A 20,956-nucleotide genomic window follows, 5' to 3' on the forward strand; every position below is an offset into this window, starting at 1 on the left:
AATAAAATACGTCACCCTTAACCCCAAGATTACCAGATTGAATCTGTTCCAGGATAGTGTATCCAGTAATACTGAACACAGTTATATTGACAGCAGCTGTTTTGTAGCATCCAATCTAGAGAGTCAAACTTTTCCATTTAGTCTTTATGACATAGCTGACTATGTATTCCAACATACCTAATGCCTTTTTTGGCCACCTAAGAAAAGAGTAAATATTATTGAACAGTAAATAGCTTTCCATAGAAAATAAGAAAATACATATGAAATACCTGCTTATAGGATCGTTCTGTACATAATGTGCAGGAAAAAAAGACTAGACGGATACACACCCAAAGTTCAATAGTAGTTATCTCTGGATAGCAGGATTGCAAATGCATGTATGTATTTTAAAAGTGTTCTATAATTAGCACATATTACTTCTGCAATCAGAATGTAAAATATAATTTTAGAATTTTTTTATAAAAATGATTTTTGTAAGCTTATAAATCATCTTAGTTGACCTGTGATGGATAATAAAAAAGGAAATTGTGTAAAGTACTCCCACTCTAAGATCTTTCTAGAAAGTTGCTAAGGATTAATACACACTTCTGTGAGATTAAACAGAAAAAGAAGAAGCTAACTAAACAGATATGTGAGCCTATAATCTGTTTAACTAAGCATAGTTTTAAGATAGACTATAACCTGAGGTTATTTATTGCTAGAAGGAATATTACATTCTCTGACACAGCCATGTTCTCTAACACTCATACTGAAATGGTCAGCAAACTGTCCTTTTCTGCTGAAATGCCCATTGAAACTCAAATCTTCTCTTTCTGCCCATTAGCACTGAAATCTCTCATATGGCTTATGAAACGTAAGTTTCTATTTTGATATTTCATATTAACTACTCTTTGGAAAGCAAAATCTAAAAACATAAAGAGAATTTTATGTGCTTTCAAAAGAAAATGACAAGTGTCTTTTCTCTTAATGTATATCCAAATACTTCTGCTTTTTTCCCATCAAATACAGAATGCATGCTATATTTACTTCAAGAGATAATGTGCCTATACCTCACTTATGAAACAATTTAAACCTGATATTTGGATGCAACAAGTGGACTGATGGACTCACTACTTACTGACATCATTGAGATGTCATTATTTTCTGATTTTTATTTTTTGGTCATTAAAGATGATAAAATAACTACTAATAAAAATCCAAATATATTGTTATGCAAGGCAATGACAGAAGAACATATTCTGAGTGATAGCAAAAAAGTCTTCAATAAACATAATCATGTCATGAAACTTAGCAATATGGCTTCTTTACTTAAGTGGACAAATATAAATTGAAAAAGAAAATTTGAATATAAAAGTTAAAAAAATAAATTTGTTCCTGAAACAAAACTGAGTGGACTCAAGATTATTTGCATGTCCTGCATCACCAATGAGGATCTAAAGTGTCAATTTCCCACATGATCAATTTCAAGATGGAATTTAGTAGGAAATACTATATATACTTAAGTATATTGTTTACTTAATCAGAAATTAATTTAAATAAATTTAATTAATGAAGCATTTTATTTAAATTTAAGTATCTTAGCAAATGTATCTTCAAATTCAAAATAAAGTAAGAACTGATCTCATTTTTGAAATCAGAACTGTCCAAGTCCCCTTTAGATAAGAGGATTTGTTTAAATAATCTTTCAGTTCTCCAGTGTCTAACCATAATGGAAGTAAAGAGAAAAAGGTAGTGAAAGCAATAGCAAAAACAATTGAGACTTATGAATTATAACCATGTGCTAGTAACTGTGTTATGTATTTTACATGCATTATTTCATTTAATCATGAATCATTTTTGGAATGAAGAGCCAGTACATTTTACAGTATACGTGTACAAAAGAGTAAAATGGTGTTTAAAAATTGAAACTAAACCACCCTTTAACAGTATTCTTTGAATACTGAAAATAAAAATAAGATATATAAAAATGTTTTAGAATCTGATCAAAGCATTTTTAAATGGTACTTTTTTTAAAAGACAAAAGTAAAGGAAACAAGGAATATTTTAAAAGATCCAATATAAAGTTAGTTCAATTTCAAACATAAAAAGTCTGTCCAGTAAAGATATATACATATATGCATGTATTTTCACATACATATATTTATATATGGCTTTTCTGCCCTCACCAAAGACCATCTACTTCTGTGAAGGAGTTAGTTCTAAGCTACGGTGCTGATATCTCAGAACTCAGGGATTCTCATCTATTCCAAGCTCAAAATGGGGGGACCCAATTTCCAGTCTTCATTCTATCACTGATCTGCTCTTTTATATTGAACAAATCTTTCCTTCTCTGAATATTTCTGATGATACACACATAGACACACACACACACCAATCAATCAAACAATATTTTATAATAACATATTCTATTTCCACTCCACTTCATCTCATCTGAACCATTTTACCCCTAGGAGTAATCCTTCCATCTTCCACGGACTAGATTTTGGAAATACATTCTATTGTACCTAGGTAAACACGTGGCTACTCAGCATACATGGTCAGTTCATGTTCTCATTTTACCCACATGAGGAAAACTGTATAATTTGAATTCTAAGTCACTTTAAGAAGCATAAGTTACTAATAATAACAATGAAAGAACATAATATATTGAAAGCAGCGAGAAAATATTCCTTCAAAATGCATACATTTTAGTTCAAAGCAATTACTATTAAAAAGCACTCCAGTTAGTAAAATCTACAAAAGACATAATCTTTAATTAATTAGCAAAATACATATACACTTTTAGGAAAAATAGTTCTTCTATGGTTTTGCTGCTAAGATAGCCAGCAGATGTCTGCCTAGTCTGGAGGGAATTTTTCTTCCTCAGGAGAAAACAGCTTAAATGGAAACAAATAGCCATATGCTGACTGTATACTGCTTAGCAGATGATGTAGAGAGCCATGTTCTACAATGGAAAACATGAGGGTCAAGGTTCAAATCAACTTTCTTTAAACTTCAATGTAATTATCCAAGATCAAATTACATATTAAATATAAGTTGTGTCAAAGATCTGTGTTATCAATTTGTGACAGGCATAACATGGAGTTCTAAGTTTAATCATTGGTGATATTGGTTACAGGAGAATAGACCCACAAACTATTTTCCTAATAAAGTTTTAAATAGAGCTGATCCAAAACAAGCAAGAAAATACAACTCGTAAGACCTTCTTAGAAAGTTGGGTTTGAAATTGAATTAGACAAATAGTGAGTTTTTATGTCTTAAAAACAGCAAAGTATTCTAAATTAAATAATTTCATATTCTCATCAAGACATGATTATTGGTTTGCAAAGAAAAATAATCAATAAAAAATAAATTTTAAAATCACATTTGTGCATAAAAATTGTTTTCTTTTATAAAATCAAACTTCAAATACTTACAAGTAAAAATGTTAGAGATAAAAACTACTATACATTTCCTAGCATTCCAATTTTTTGACTTTATAATTGTGTGAGATAACTTTAACTGCATCAATACTGTTTTTGAGAAAAAGGTTTACAGTTTTTAACTACACAGCAAAGAACAGCAGCAAAACATTAACCAATATCTGCACTGAGGTCTACCCTTGTTATAACTGGGATATAAATGAAAATAAAAATAAATAATCCCCCAAATAACTGATAAATAGAATAACTTTGGTGCATTACTTCAACTTAAATAAATATTTAAGGCACAATAGACAAAAATATTATTTCTATACAGAAATAAAGGTTTTAAATGGCATTCTATATTAATTTTTTTTCAATGTTTGAGAGGTTGACAATTGTTAGGAACCAAGAAATACAGTTGTTGTTACAGCTGTAAAACTTGGTTTAAAGGCAAATAAAACACATGAAAATGTTTTGAAAGCATTACCAACAACTGCGCTATGAAACCTGTGTTGCCTCAAGACACTTTTCGTTAATGTTTTTACTTGGGGGTGATAGTTTAATATCATAACTTGATAGTAATATCGTAACTTTTGAAATATGACTTTATCAAAACATGCAGTTGGTCCTCTATATTCATGGGCTTTGCAACTGTGGAATCAACCAATCACAGATGGAAAATAATAGGGGAAAAGAAATGATAGTATCTATACTGAATATGTATGGTCTTTTTTTCCCTTGCGATTATCCCCTAGACAATACGGTATAGCAACAATTACTATATGAGCTATTGTACATAATTTAGACATATTTGTAAGTATATGGGGGAGGGTGTGCATAGGTTATGTGTAAATACTACGTCATATATAAGGAACTTGAGCATTCATGGGTATTTGTATATACAGCAGTCCTGTAACCAATCGCCCATGAATCCTGAGGGAGGACTATACATTCTTTTATAAATAGGTCGAACATTTAAACTTATTTTGCATGGGCTACATTCAAATTGGCCTTAAAAAATAAAAAAAGCAAACTAGCCTTCTGTTATGATGACAGCTGTCATTCACCTCACTAATTTAGTTCTGAGACCTTTACTGAGAATCAAGACAATAAGAGAAAGGTCATAAGTTCATTGTTAGTTAACTGTGAATAGGCAAATATAAACTGGATTGTAGAACTTCAAAGAAATATTTTAAAAATGAATAGCTAGTTTTAACACAGTTTAAAATGGTTACTTTAATTTTTATTGTATCTAATTATATTTTACACTCATATCAGAAATTTTTGGCATTCTGTCTTAAGTAATATGAGGCTCTGGGAGAGTGATCAAGTCATTTACATTCTCTAGGGCTGATTTCACGTTAATAATATGATTGAGTTGGAATAATCTGTCTCTAAATCCCTTTCTACATTTATAATTTTATAATTATATCAATGTATAATTTTATGCTTATTTAAGTTATAGTTGAATTTTGAAGACAATTTTGGAGACTATGAAAACTAATTATATAATTAAAATTTTGAACATATATTAACATATCAATTATCTTGGAAAAACATCATATATAAATATATACATGGTTATTTATATAGTTTTATAGAGAATTATATATAAAGTGAATTTTATCTAAATTTCATTTGTCTCTCCAATCCCTATGCAATTCTCAATTTTTGTCATATTATATACAGCAGGATCCTTTCAAGGGGATGAATCATTTTGGCTACTCCTTGAATGTAGATAGAAAATAAAAGAAGCCCAATTCTTATTCAACTGCAATATAAATCTAGCCTATAGATACAACAGTTTAATGGTTAGTCAATAAATCCTTCTTGAGGGTAATTTCAAATGAGCTGTATTTGGTGCTAGTGTAAATAAACTGAACCATAAAACTACTTGAGGATAACATACACCTGTTTTCTTCCAAAGGCACCCCACAGTAGCCAAGAAAATAAAATATAAGGCATATACATATACTTTTTTGATATAGCTTTAATAGAAATATATTTCTAAGAATTAGAAATGGTTTAAAACCCTAACTTAAACTGCCAGTTGAAGGTATTTTTCTTAATGAAGACAAATTTTTAAATCCCACACTATCTTATTTATAGACAAATTCTCATATGTAGCTATGGATAAGAGAGAGAGTGAGTGTGTGTGTGTGTGTGTGTGTGTGTGTGTGTGTGTGTGTGTATTTTTTGGCTATTCACCGGCATGATCCCACTACTGATCAGCATGGGAGTTTTGATCTGCTCCATTTCTGACCTGATCCTGTTCACTCCTCCTTAGGCCAACCTGGTGGTTCCCCATTCTCAGGAGGTCACCGTACTGACACCAAACTTAGTTTGGACACCCAATGGACATGGTGCAGTACAGCCCAGAACCCCTGGGCTCAAGCAATTCTCTTGCCTCAGTGTCTCAAGTAGCTGAACTATAGGCAGCACATGGTTCCCTATTCAATATCTTTAAAGGTAACAAAGGAGGGGATGGAACAATTTTAATAAAACTTTCCAACAGAAAATCACTCCCAATCAAAAGTCAAATTGTTAACCAACTGTGTGTAAATACCAATTTAGCTTGAATAACAAGTTAGGATGAGAAATACAGAAAACCGAAATAGTAGATTGTATTCACATACAAAGCTAGAGTTTATCCTCAGGTAAGGCCTGAGATACAAATTCGACTTTTCATTGCCATGATCAAACAAATGACGCCACTCTGCCACTCCCTCTGCCAAACACAGAGCGCCCAGTTTACTTACTGGCTACTTCCAGCGATGCATTGTGGCTCACAGCCTCTCCAAGGTAATTCCTTGCTACACAGACATAGACTCCTTCATCAGGTCTACTTTTCCGTCCATGTACTATACGTAAGAAAAATAAAGATCCACTCGGCAGCAACATTCGGTGTGAGCGAGGGTCATCTTTGTCTGTCTCCACTCTCTCTCCCCCTTTGTACCATTCAATAGTGGGTGTGGGGCGGCCTTCAGCTTTGCAGTTCAAAGTTGCAGGTTCTCCTTTTGAGACAATCAGGTCTGAAGGGTGTTCAACAATGCGAGGTGGAAAATCTTCCTGACGAAGACGGGAGCCTGCAGAAGAATTCACAAAATATCTTCGTATATCACTTGAAAACAGTTAATCGCTTATTTTTAAAGCATTGGCTTAACCATTACTATTTAAACACTGCATAACATTGGCCTAGCCTTCCTACCCTATTTACTAACAATCTTTCTGGTGTCCGCCTTGACTACACCTTCCAATTCTTGAATCCTTTTGAGTCTCCACTCAGAAACTTCTCTCGCTTACACATTGCCTGTGCAAATCCTGTCCTCAAATCCCTCATCCCCAGGTCCTTTCAGAACCCATTACATTGTGTGTTTATACCATGCATGTGTCCATTTCTGCAGAGGAATGTGTTTATTACAAATAATGGCACGGTTCCCTGGAACCTCCTTTTTAACGAACATCAGTCAACACTTCAACAAAACATATGTGGCCCGGCGCGGGGGCTCACGCCTGTAATCCCAGCACTTTGGGGGGCCGAGGCGGGCGGATCACGAGGTCAGGAGATCAAGACCATCCTGGCTAACAAGGTGAAACCCCGTCTCTACTAAAAAAAAAAAAAAAAAATTAGCCTGGCGTGGTGGCGGACACCTGAAGTCCCAGCTACTCGGGAGGCTGAGGCAGGAGAATGGCGTGAACCCGGGAGGCGGAGCTTGCAGTGAGCCGAGATCGCGCCACTGCACTCCAGCCTGGGTGACACAGCAAGACTCTGCCTCAAAAAAAAAAGAAAAAAGAAAAAAAAATGCTATATACTAATGAACATTTGCATTCAAATATATACTAGAACTGTCCTTTATGTAGACTTTTATATCTTCCTAAATAAAAAAAAGTATATACACTTCCCCAGAGTTTTTATTAATAAATTAATTTTATTAATAATAATTTATATTTTAATAGACTTCAGAGATGAAATGCTAAGTACCTGAGTTTAAATAATTAAATATACTATTAAATGGAAAAGGATATTGAGTGAGGGGCTTCATTCTGGACCTTACATATTACTTAATAAATGAAGCCCTGAGTGTCTATGTCACTTAAATATTTTCTGTGTCTGTACCTTATTTTTTCCAATGAGATTATAACTCAAAAACAGGAATGATGTTTCATATTTTATAACATTCCTATCTTATTTCTGCTTATATACAGTAAATATGTAAATTTATCAAAGATTTCTCAAATTCAACAGCCAAAGGCCTTACTGAAAGAGTCCCAAATCATGCCCTCATCTAGTGTTTCAAGGTCAATGAATAAGGCAAATTAGAAACCAGTCTTCCTCTCTTTCTGTCCCCTAGTTCTTTCCAAATTCCTCCTGAAAAGTTCTCAAATTACTCTGCTTAGCCTCATCTATATAACCAGCTACCATCACAAGTCCAACTACCGTCTCTTTCCACCAGGATGTAGGAAAGCCTGTGAAATAGTTTCACTTCAGTGTAGCCAGATGAAGGCTCTGAAATGCAAATATAATGTGGGTTGTCCTCTACTTCAGTGGCTCTTAAAATAAACTTACTGCTCTTAACGTAAGTCTTTAACTAGACCTACAAGAGTTAGCCTGTTCATTCCCTGATCCACCTGTCTAGACACTTCCTGTTCCATGCTTTTCTCTGCTGTCTTCAGCCTGACTTCTCTTAGCTCCACAAGTACCTTGCGCATCCTCCTGCAACATGATTTATGCCTGCCACAGGGCCTGGGCTTGAAGTAATCTTACAGTAGAATACACCTACTCTATTTCAAATCTCTGCTCTCTCTAATCTTTACAAGTTAAATGTTGGTTTTATAAACCGAAATAGCACTATACAGCTACCCTTGGTAAGAATGATCAGAATTACAATATATAAATCTATTTGTCGGATGCTATTTGTCCGTTTTTCCCACCCTTCTGTAAGATCTGTGGGTCTGGTTTTGCTCATGGTATTTCCCTTATGCTTGGCAGAGTGCTGTGCACATTACAGTACTCAGTAAACCATGTGTTGAATAAATGACAAAAAAGAATGAAGTGCTGACAAGAAAGACCTAACTAAGCAGAAGGAGAGGAAGTTTAACAATCATGTATTCTATGACAAGACAGGAAAATATGTTATTTTTCAAAGTTATAACTAATACGTATACATTCAACCTTTAATAGACTGTAAGCCCTACATGAGGCTTATTTGTATCTAATTTGTAACTACTCCAATTAATGTTTTTCTTAGTGAAATATATTAATGAATAATGAAAGATCTATTATTTGCTCATGTCCACCATGAAACAAAAATTATAATTTGAAATGCCAATAGTTGTATAATCTGAAACACTAATAACTTTAGCTTAGTGCACGTATACAGCATGGTATAGATTTTTTCAATGAAACTAAGCTCTAGAAAAGGAGGAAATAAACTAGCAATATAAAAGAAAAAAATTACTTGGAAACTTATACTCTCTAAGGCTATGTTGAAGCCAAGTGAAATTCAGATTGGATTTTATATTACTCATCACAGTCAGTGCTATACAACTTCAGAAGATTAAGTATTGTAATATGTTCTTGGCCTTTACCTTGGCTGGAATTCTGAAAGGTGGATACTAAGGAGGATTGACTGCTGAGGAGATATTTATTTAATTAAAGCAACTTTTATTTTAAAATCTGAAAGTCCATTTCAGCTAGAAAATAGGGATATATAGGCTGTTATGAGGATACAAAGAAGGGCCACCGAAGATTGCCTGAGCAAGTCAGAGAAGAAACTCAAACACATTACGTTTGAGATAAGCCTTGAAGAATGAGTCAGAAACGGAAGACAGGTGATGATTTCACCCAGAGGCACAGCTACAGGAGTATGTGGTACACTTGTGGGACCTGCAAGCTGCTTAGTATGGCCTGAGTATAAGGTGCATTTCAGAGACTGTGAAGTGTAAGTCTGAAGGAATAGCTAAAATAAATAACTTCTTGGGCTTTGTACAATGAGCCACAGTTTTGGAACCCAGTGGAAGACAGCCAGAAACCATTAAGAAATGTTAAGCAATGGATGAGTATCATCAAGGCTGGTTTTAAAGAGCTCACTATTGGCAGCATGAAACTGGACCTAACAGGATGAGCTAAGAAGGAATTAGTGAGGACCCGTTTCAAGCAATAAATCTGAAAACCAGGGTCAAGCATGGTGGCTCATGCCTGTAATTCCAGCACTTTGGGAGGTCAAGGCAGGAGGATCACTTGAGCCTAGGAGTTCAAGACCAGCCTAGGCAACACAAGGAAACCATGTCTCTATAAAAAATTCAAACAATTAGCCAGGTGTATGATGCACGCCTGTAATCCCAGCAACTCAGGAGCTCAGGTGCAATGATCACCTGGGCCTGGGAAGTCGAGGCTGCAGTGAGCTGAGATCACACCACCACACTCCAGCACAGGGACAGAGGGAGACACTGTCTCAAAGATAAAGAAAGGAAGAAACCTGAGAGCCAGAACTTAGACATTAACAGACAGAAGGGAAAACAGAAGGAAGAATCTCAAGATATTAATTCATAAAATCAACAGAGTCTAGCCACTTACAATATGGAGTAAAAGGAAATGCAAATACACAGGATGGAGGACAAGCAGAGGGTAGGGAGATTCCATGTTTCTTGTCTCTGTAATGGGTGAAGAGCAGTCTCACTGAAGGCAGGGAATAAGAGAGTGAAATTTGGTAAAAGGAAGAAGGGCAAGGAGATAATTCTATTCAGTATGAGACATGAAGAATTTGGGATACTTCTAGAATAGCCAAACGGTACTGACAAGCTGTCAATTGTATATCCTTAAGTTTGACCTCAAAAAAGAAACCTCAGCTGGAAAGTCAATTAGAATACAGCCAATGATTAAATCCATAGTAAAGATCAAAACTTCCTGGGGAAGCCAGGCCCAGTGGCACACGCCTGTAGTGTGTCCCAGCTACTCAGGAGGCTGAGGTGGAAGGATCACTTGAGCCCATGAGGCTGCAGTGTGCTATGATCACACCTGTGAATAGCCACTGCACTTCAGCCTGGGCAACATAGTGAGACCCCATCTCTAAAAAGTTTATTTTTTTTTTTGCCGGGTGCGGTGGGTCACGCCTGTAATCCCAGGACTTCGGGAGGCCAAGGCGGGCAGATCACCAGGTCAGGAGATGGAGACCATCCTGGTTAACATGGTGAAACCCTGTCTCTACTAAAAATACAAAAAAAATTAGCCAGGCGTGGTGGCAGGCGCCTGTAGTCCCAGCTACTCGAGAGGCTGAGGCAGGAGAATGGCGTGAACCTGGGAGGCGGAGCTTACAGTGAGCCAAGATCGTGCCACTGCACTCCAGCCTGGGCGACAGAGAGAGACTCAGTCTCAAAAAAAACAAAGAAAGGTTTTTGTTTTGTTTTGTTTTGTTTTTAAGTCTAGAGAGATGATGTACAGGAAGTAATGACCAATTACAGAATCTGGATGTCACCCAGGCGCCACTAAAGTGCAGTGTTGCTGAGAGTTCACTCTGTCCCTGATTTGCAGTCCCCTATAGCGAAACCACAACCAGTATGGCTTTGGGAATGGAACTCAGGACCAAGTTTTTACCATGATGTTTGTACACAACAATTCAGTAAATGTCTCAGCAATAAAAATGTTTTCCATATTATTAAACGCTAAATTTCTCAAAAGGCTCTATGGAATATTCTTTCTTCAGATTGTTACTAGGCATTGCTTCAAGGAAGAGTTGCAGTTCTCAGGGTGATTAGTCTGCTAAGGCATACTATGATGTACAAGAAGAGGGGTATAATATGTAGCATTTCCCAACTTATTTGGCCACTGAACTCTTTTTTATTTTTATTTTTTGCAGAATATCCCACTGAACTTTGCTTCTAAGAAACACATTTCAAGAGAAAATATACACTATCAAGCATTTAATAATTTGAGGAGAATGAATAGGATCAGCAAAAAACCTATTACTTGACTATTAAGCCAATACCCTTGGAGGTTATGACAAAATACAGAAATCTCACATTTCTCATAATGTATAACCTTCAGGAAAAAGATCTTCCAATTTCAGAGTGATGATTTATGAGTGATTGGTTAACTTTAATAATAAAAACCATAAATGGTAATCATCATCTTTATTAAAAAAGTATAATGAATTATTATTTGTTATAAAGTCTAAGCAGGAAGAAAAGGAATAGAAAAGAAAACCACTACTAATTATCCACCATCTTCTGTATTACAACAACATCTTTATGAAGTGTGTGTTGTTATATCTGTGTCCATATGGGGGAACTGAGACTCTCAGCTGTCATTCAGCTGTGAAGTGGCAGTGCTGGAATTCAATCACAGTCAGATTCAAAGTCCTTGCTCTTTCCAACTATTCCATAAATACTGCTATGGTTAATTAGTTAAAATCCATAGAGAAACATGCTTTGTTCACACTTGCTTCCAACACTGGAGGTGTTCACTTTGCACTTTGATTGCTTACTTTTAAAATATAGATGATAAAAACACCAAGAGCTCTCCTGCTCTCTTTTTCTCTCTCTGCCATGTGAGGACACAGAAGGCAGCCATCTATAAGCCAGAAAGTGAGCCCTCATCAGAAACCAGCCATGCCTGCACCCTGATGTCAGATTTCAGCCTCCAGAACAGATTAAAGAGTTCTTTGGGGATAGAAGAAAATAAATGTGGAGGGAGGAGCCAAGATGGCCGAATAGGAACAGCTCCGGTCTACAGCTCCCAGGGGGAGCAACGCAGAAGACCAGTGATTTCTGCATTTCCAACTGAGGTACCGGGTTCATCTCACTGGGGAGTGCCAGACAGTAGGTGCAGGACAGTGGGTGCAGCGCACCGTGTGCGAGTCAAACCAGAGAGAGGCATTGCCTAACCCAGGAAGCGCAAGGGGTCAGGGAATTCCCTTTCCTAGTCAAAGAAAGGGGTGACAGATGGCACCTGGAAAATCGGGTCACTCCCACCCTAATACTGCGCTTTTCCAATGGACTTAAAAAACGGCACACCAGGAGATTATATCCCGCACGTGGCTCACAGGGTCCTACACCCAGGGAGTCTTGCTCATTGCTAGCACAGCAGTCCCAGATCAAACTGCAAGGCGGCAGTGAGGCTTGGGGAGGGGTGCCCGCCATTGCCGAGTTAGTTGTTTGATTAGGTAGACAAAGCTACCGGGAAGCTCAAACTGGGTGAAGCCCACCACAGCTCAAGGAGGCCTGCCTGCCCCTGTAGGCTCCACCTCTGGGGTCAGGGCATGGACAAACAAAAAGATAGCAGTAACCTCTGCAGATTTAAATGTCCCTCTCTGACAGCTTTGAAGAGAGTAGTGGTTCTCCCAGCACGCAGCTTGAGATCTGAGAATGGGCAGACTGCCTCCTCAAGTGGGTCCCTGACCCCCGAGTAGCCTAACTGGGAGGCACCCCCCAGTAGGGGCGGACTGACACCTCACACGGCCGGGTACTACTCTGAGACAAAACTTCCAGAGGAACAATCAGACAGCAGCATTTGCAGTTCACCAATATATGCTGTTCTGCAGACACCGCTGCTGATACCCAGGCAAACAGGGTCTGGAGTGGACCTCTAGCAAACTCTAACAGACCTGCAGCTGAGGGTCCTGTCTGTTAGAAAGAAAACTAACATACAGAAAGGACATCCACACCAAAAACCCATCTGTACCTCACCATCATCAAAGACCAAAGGTAGATAAAACCACAAAGACGGGAAAAAAACAGGGCAGAAAAACTGGAAACTCTAAAAATCAGAGCGCCTCTCCTCCTCCAAAGGAATGCAGCTCCTCACCAGCAACGGAACAAAACTGGATGGAGAATGACTTTGACAAATTGAGAGAAGAAGGCTTCAGACGATCAAACTACTCTGAGCTACAGGAGGAAATTCAAACCAATGGCAAAGAAGTTAAAAGCTTTGAAAAAATATTAGATGAATGGATAACTAGAAGAACCAATACAGAGAAGTCCTTAAAGGACCTGATGGAGCTGAAAACCAAGGCACGAGAGCTACGTGACAACTGTAGAAGCCTCCGTAGACAATGCAATCAACTGGAAGAAAGGGTATCAGTGATGGAAGACGAAATGAATGAAATGAAGCGAGAAGAGAAGTTTAGAGAAAAAAAAAAAATAAAAAGAAATCAACAAAGCCTCCAAGAAATATAGGACCATGTGAAAAGACCAAATCTACGTCTGATTGGTGTACCTGAAAGTGATGGGGAGAATGGAACCAAGTTGGAAAACACTCTGCAGGGTATTATCCAGAAGGACTTCCCCAATCTAGCAAGGCAGGCCAACATTCAAATTCAGGAAATACAGAGAACACCACAAAGATACTCCTCGAGAAGGGCAATTCCAAGACACATAATTGTCAGATTCACCAAAGTTGAAATGAAGGAAAAAATGTTAAGGGCAGCCAGGGAGAAAGGTCGGGTTACCCACAAAGGGAAGCCCACCAGACTAACAGCTAATCTCTTGGCAGAAACTCTACAAGCTAGAGGAGAGTGGGGACCAATATTCAACATTCTTAAAGAAAAGAATTTTCAACCCACAATTTCATATCCAGCCAAACTAAGCTTCATAAGTGAAGGAGTAATAAAATACTTTACAGACAAGCAAATGCTGAGAGATTTTGTCACCACCAGGCCTGCCCTAAAAGAGCTCCTGAAGGAAGCACTAAATGTGGAAAGGAACAACTGGTAACAGCCACTGCAAAAACATGCCAAATTGTAAAGACCATCAAGGCTAGGAAGAAACTGCATCAACTAATGAGCAAAATAACCAGCTAACATCATAATGACAGGATCAGATTCACACATAACAATATTAACTTTAAATGTAAATGGGCTAAATGCTCCAATTAAAAGACACAGACTGACAAATTGGATAAAGAGTCAAGACCCATCAGTGTGCTGTATTCAGGAGACCCATCTCACGTGCAGAGACACACATAGGCTCAAAATAAAGGGATGGAGAAAGATCTACCAAGCAAATGGAAAACAAAAAAAGGCAGGGGTTGCAATCCTAGTCTCTGATAAAACAGACTTTAAACCAACAAAGATGAAAAGAGACAAAGAAGGCTATTACATAATGGTAGAGGGATCAATTCAACAAGAAGAGCTAACTATCTTAAATATATATGCACCCAATACAGGAGCACCCAGATTCACAAAGCAAGACCTTAGTGACCTACAAAGAGACTTAGACTCCCACACAATAATAATGGGAGATTTTAACACCCCACTATCAACATTAGACAGATCAACAAGACAGAAAGTTAACAAGGATACCAAGGAACTGAACTCAGCTCTGCACCAAGCGGACCTAATAGACATCTACAGAACTCTCCACCCCAAATCAACAGAATATACATTCTTTTCAGCACCACACCACACCTACTCCAAAACTGACCACATAGTAGGAAGTAAAGCACTCCTCAGCAAATGTAAAAGAACAGAAATTATAACAAACTGTCTCTCAGACCACAGTGCAATCAAACTAGAACTCAGGATTAAGAAACTCACTCAAAACCGCTCAACTACATGGAAACTGAAATACCTGCTCCTGAATGACTACTGGGTAAATAATGAAACGAAGGCAGAAATAAAGATGTTCTTTGAAACCAATGAGAACAAAGTCACAACATACCAGAATCTCTGGGACACATTCAAAGCAGTGTGTAGAGGGAAATTTATAGCACTAAATGCCCACAAGGAAAAGTAGGAAAGATCTAAAATTGACACCCTAACGTCACAATTAAAAGAACCAGAAAAGCAAAAGTAAACACATTCAAAAGCTAGCAGAACACAAGAAATAACCAAGAACAGAGCAGAACTGACGGAAATAGAGACAATAAAACCCTTCAAAAAATTAATGAATCCAGGAGCTGGTTTTTTGAAAAGATCAACAAAACTGATAGACCGCTAGCAAGACTAATAAAGAAGAAAAGAGAGAAGAATCAAATAGACACAATAAAAAATGATAAAGGGGATAACACCACCAATCCCACAGAAACACAAACTACCATCAGAGAATACTATAAACACCTCTACACAAATAAACTAGAAAATCTAGAAGAAATGGATAAATTCCTCAACACATACATCCTCCCAAGACTAAACCAGGAAGAAGTTGAATCTCTGAATAGACCAATAACAGGCTCTGAAATTGAGGCAATAATCAATAGCTTACCAACCAAAAAGAGTCCAGGACCAGATGGATTCACAGTCGAATTCTACCAGAGGTAGAAAAAGGAGCTGGTACCATTCCTTCTTAAACTATTCCAATCAATAGAAAAAGAGGGAATCCTCCCTAACTCATTTTATGAGGCCAGCATCATCCTGATACCAAAGCATGGCAGAGACACAACCAATTTTAGACCAATATCTTTGATGAACATTGATGCAAAAATCCTCAATAAAATACTGGCAAACCAAATCCAGCAGCAAATCAAAAAGCTTATCCACCATGATCAAGTGGGCTTCATCCCTGGGATGCAAGGCTGGTTCAACATACACAAATCAATAAACGTAATCCAGCTTATAAACAGAACCAAAGACAAAAACCACATGACTATCTCAATAGATGCAGAAAAGGCCTTTGACAAAATTCAACAACTCTTCATGCTAAAAGCTCTCAATAAAGTAGGTATTGATGGGACAAATCTCAAAATAATAAGAGTTATCTATGACAAACCCACAGCCAATATCATACTGAATGGGCAAAAACTGGAAGCATTCTCTTTGAAAACGGGCACAAGACAGGGATGCCCTCTCTCACTACTCCTATTCAACATAGTGTTGGAAGTTCTGGCCAGGGCAATCAGGCAGGAGAAGGAAAAAAGGGTATTCAATTAGGAAAAGAGTAAGTCAAACTGTCCCTCTTTGCAGATGACATGATTGTATATCTAGAAAACCCCATCGTCTCAGCCCAAAATCTCAAGCTGATAAGCAACTTCAGCAAAGTCTCAGGATACAAAATCAATGTACAAAAATCACAAGCATTCTTATACGCCAATAACAGACAAACAGAGAGCCAAATCATGAGTGAACTCCCATTCACAATTGCTTCAAAGGAATAAAATACCTAGGAATCCAACTTACAAGGGATGTGAAGGACCTCTTCAAGGAGAACTACAAACCACTGCTCAAGGAAATAAAAGAGGATACAAACAAATGGAAGAACATTCCATGCTCATGGGTAGGAAGAATCAATATCGTGAAAATGGCCATACTGCCCAAGGTAATTTATAGATTCAATGCCATCCCCATCAAGCTACCAATGACTTTCTTCACAGAATTGGAAAAAACTACTTTAAAGTTCATATGGAACCAAAAAAGAGACCGCATCGCCAAGTCAATCCTAAGCCAAAAGAACAAAGCTGGAGGCATCACACTACCTGACTTCAAACTATACTACAAGGCTACAGTAACCAAAACAGCATGGTACTGGTACCAAAACAGAGATATAGATCAATGGAACAGAACAAAGCCCTCAGAAATAATGCCGCATATCTACAACTATCTGATCTTTGACAAACCTGACAAAAACAAGCAATGGGGAAAGGATTCCCTATTTAATAAATGGTGCTGGGAAAACTGGCTAGCCATATGTAGAAAGCTGAAACTGGATCCCTTCCTTACATCTTATACAAAAATTAATTCCAGATGGATTAAAGACTTAAATGTTAGACCTAAAACCATAAAAACCCTACAAGAAAACCTAGGCAATACCATTCAGGACATAGGCATGGGCAAGGACTTCATGTCTAAAACACCAAAAGCAATGGCAACAAAAGCCAAAATTGACAAATGGGATCTAATTAAACTAAAGAGCTTCTGCACAGCAAAGGAAACTACCATCAGAGTGAACAGGCAACCTACAGAATGGGAGAAAATTTTCGCAACCTACTCATCTGACAAAGGGCTAATATCCAGAATCTACAATGAACTCCAACAAATTTACAAGAAAAAAACAAACAACCCCATCAAAAAGTGGGCGAAGGATATGAACAGACACTTCTCAAAAGAAGACATTTATGCAGCCAAAATCACATGAAAAAATGCTCATCATCACTGGCCATCAGAGAAATGCAAATCAAAACTATAATGAGATACCATCTCACACCAGTTAGAATGGCAATCATTAAAAAGTCAGGAAACAACAGGTGCTGGAGAGGATGTGGAGAAATAGGAACACTTTTCCACTGTTGGTGGGACTGTAAACTAGTTCAACCATTGTGGAAGTCCGTGTGGCGATTCCTCAGGGATCTAGAACTAGAAATACCATTTGAACCAGCCATCCCATTACTGGGTATATACCCAAAGGATTATAAATCATGCTGCTATAAAGACACATGCACACGTATGTTTACAGCAGCACTATTCACAATAGCAAAGACTTGGAACCAACCTAAATGTCCAACAACGATAGACTGGATTAAGAAAATGCGGCACGTATACACCATGGAATACTATGCAACCATAAAAGATCATGAGTTCATGTCCTTTGTAGGGACATGGATGAAACTGGAAACCACCATTCTCCGCAAACTATAGCAAGGAGAAAAAACCAAACACCGCATGTTCTCACTCATAGGTGGGAATTGAACAACGAGAACACACGGACACAGGAAGGGGAACATCACACATCGAGGCCTGTTGTGGGGTGGGGGGAGGGGGGAGGGATAAGCTTTAGGAGATATACCTATTGCTAAATGACGAGTTAATGGGTGCAGCACACCAACATGGCACATGTATACATATGTAACAAACCTGCACATTGTGCACATGTACCCTAAAACTTAAAGTATAATAATAATAAAATAAATGTAATATTAAATTAAAAAAAAAAACAAAACATCAAGAAACAGTCAAACCTGTTGACTCTGTTGTGCTTTCCCCATGCACAGAATATCCATCTGCAAATGATTTCATAGTTACTTCACTCAGTAGAGACCCTGCTGATGAATAAATGGAGATATAAAGCTTTCCATGTACTGTGCCATCTTCTCCAAATATGAGCTTACATTGCTGAGTAAATATCCTTACATGATCAGTTTTTCATATTCTGAGAACCTCAATTCCTACACAATTGTTTGCACAATTAAAATTCAATATCATTGGTTTCTAACTTTTTTTCTGCCAATATACTTGAGGGAAAACCTATATCATAAATAATATATATAAAACCTATATATGTGTATGTTATATATCATATATAACCTATATCATAGATATATATAACTCTGACTCACTTTCTTAAAGGAAAACTTTAAGGGAGTTACACCAAGGCCAAATATGGAAGAGCATATATAAATCTCATAAGAGTACGGATGAAAGCCTCCAAGTCCCAGATATCAGTGATTGCAGTCTTCCACCCTAAAAGTGGTGTCTACCTTCACTCTGTCACAATTATTTATAATATTATATATTTACATACAGTACATATATATAATATTCGACTCATTATTCATAAAAAGCTTTCTCTCTTCATTCATAAATTCCACATTCCTATAAAACATCTGATAACCATCATTCTAGTTATGTGAATTTGTACATATTTTATGTAATAAGATACAAAATTTCTATCCCAATTGGCAGAACCAACTTCCAGGTTTCAACCACATTCTGCATAGTAAACCTAATAGTTACAAAGAAGAGGGGGTTAAAAAAAACAACAACACCACACAGACTGATGACGTGAGGCTTTTACAAAGGAACTAGGATGATACTCTCTCTGACACTGTCAACTGCCCTCTGCAAGAATCCTGGTAGAATCTTGAGAACTCACTTCAGGCAAGACCAGCATCAGGGAAAGCGCAGGGCAGGATTCCTTCAACAACTGCCCAGTTGGAAGATAAAATATAAACATGAGTGACTGAAATATCTAAATATTTACACAACCACAGCTGGAAAAAGATATACACGTAAGTGCTAAGTATTTCAAGGAAATATATCAAAGTCACACAAGATTTATGATGAGGAAACCAAACTCCTAGTTGGATGTAAACTGCTTCCCCCTCTGAGAGGTCACTTTTACACAAACACAGAAAGTAACCATTTAAGAGACTGCTCGTGTTACTATTCTGTTGAGGTAAGCATAAACATATGTATTAAAAGAATTATATATATAATTTTATTCTTTATTCATATATATGATTTTTTTCTATCATGACATTAATATTTACCTTATGGTTTTGTTTATTTGTGTTTCAGGTCTGTTTCTTAACAGACAGAAAAAACAGTATTTATTTTATTAGTAGTTTTGTTTTGATCCAACCGTTTTCATACTCTGCTGTATAAAATTAGAAAACCTAAAATGATTAAAGTATCTGTCTCCATCAAATATCATATTAATGTATCTTGCAGCACAAAAATTCTTATAAAACTGTTAAAAGCAGAAGAGGAACAAATTCAGTGAGTAGCTGACAGATACACCATAAATATTAATAGACAATTAATAGAGAATTTGGCGACATCTGTCCAAGGTGGGGACAGGGATGTAATTATATATATAATATATAAAAATCTATATATTTATATATAGGTTCAAACCTATATTCTTAAAAGAGCCTTGCTGCTTAACACTTTTATTTAAGCTCCATTTACCTTTAAAGGAGCAGAACTGCCTCCAATTATTAACATAAATCCTATCATGGGCACTAATCCTGTAATTTTCCTGTCAGAATTTCATCCTACAAGAAGACATTTGTTAAAAAATAAGAAGGCAGCACCCATTAATTACTCACTGTGCAGAGTAGATTTAAATATCCTCTATTAAGTTACACACATTTCCAAATACTCATGCTTACTGTTGAAATAAGAAGCATAAAAACAGTCCACACTCTACAAAAAAAGCTAAGTACTTTCACCCAAAATTATACATAGTACATGAATACAAGGAAAATGGAATGGATTATAATAACTACATGATTACTACATAATGCCATTTCGCTCAGCTACTTTATTTTATTCTAATGTCTCTTGATTATAAACTTCTACCTAAGCAAACACTATTTAGAGGAAAACTTCTCCAGTCAAAATTTAGAATAACCCTAATAATTAACTGAGTGCCATTGGTAGAATTTATCATCTAAAATGGTTACCAAAATAGACCAAAAGGAAATTCCAGGAGTGAATGCCTGGTGTTTTTGTAATATTCCTAAAGAATCTAATATCGTATGGCTATGTCCCCAGAGATATGAAAAAGATTGGCAGTAGCATAAGTTACATTTTAGAAAGAATTTTGCCTCCCCTCTCCCATTGTTAATAATACATAGACAACTAAGTAGGAGAGGGTTTTCTGTCATGAGACCCAAATATCATAGAAGCTAGAAGGGCAATAACTGGAGAATTGTCACTATTGAACCAATTCAGGCAGGATTTCATCCTGAGCTGTAACTAAGGGAACTGGAAGGTTGAAGCTGGCTAGCTGAGTTCATTCTTCCTATTTGCCCCTTAGTAAAATGCTCAAGTAACATGCAAACTGAAGAATTTTACTTTCTGTAAAATACTGAACAAGTATATTTGCATGTGTTAAAGTCC

The 20,956-nt window shown here is 36.9% G+C and overlaps 1 protein-coding gene and 1 pseudogene across 18 annotated transcripts in view; both read right to left on the reverse strand.

The window, feature by feature from the left end:
- Positions 1 to 20,956, reverse strand: part of ROBO1 (roundabout guidance receptor 1) — a 1,170,760-nt gene that overhangs the window by 335,199 nt on the left and 814,605 nt on the right. For 17 of the 18 annotated variants that reach the window (XM_017006982.2, XM_047448664.1, XM_047448661.1 and 14 more), the window contains one exon: positions 6,164 to 6,490. In XM_017006982.2, coding sequence (XP_016862471.1) covers positions 6,164 to 6,490 — 327 coding nt within the window. Of the gene's footprint in view, positions 1 to 6,163; positions 6,491 to 18,288; positions 18,365 to 20,956 lie in introns of those variants that run through there. The other variant, XM_047448662.1, reaches the window with a different exon arrangement.
- On the reverse strand, positions 5,572 to 5,855 carry RN7SL751P (RNA, 7SL, cytoplasmic 751, pseudogene; annotated as a pseudogene).

Source organism: Homo sapiens, chromosome 3 (assembly GCF_000001405.40).
Source record: "Homo sapiens chromosome 3, GRCh38.p14 Primary Assembly".
NCBI lineage: Eukaryota > Metazoa > Chordata > Mammalia > Primates > Hominidae > Homo > Homo sapiens.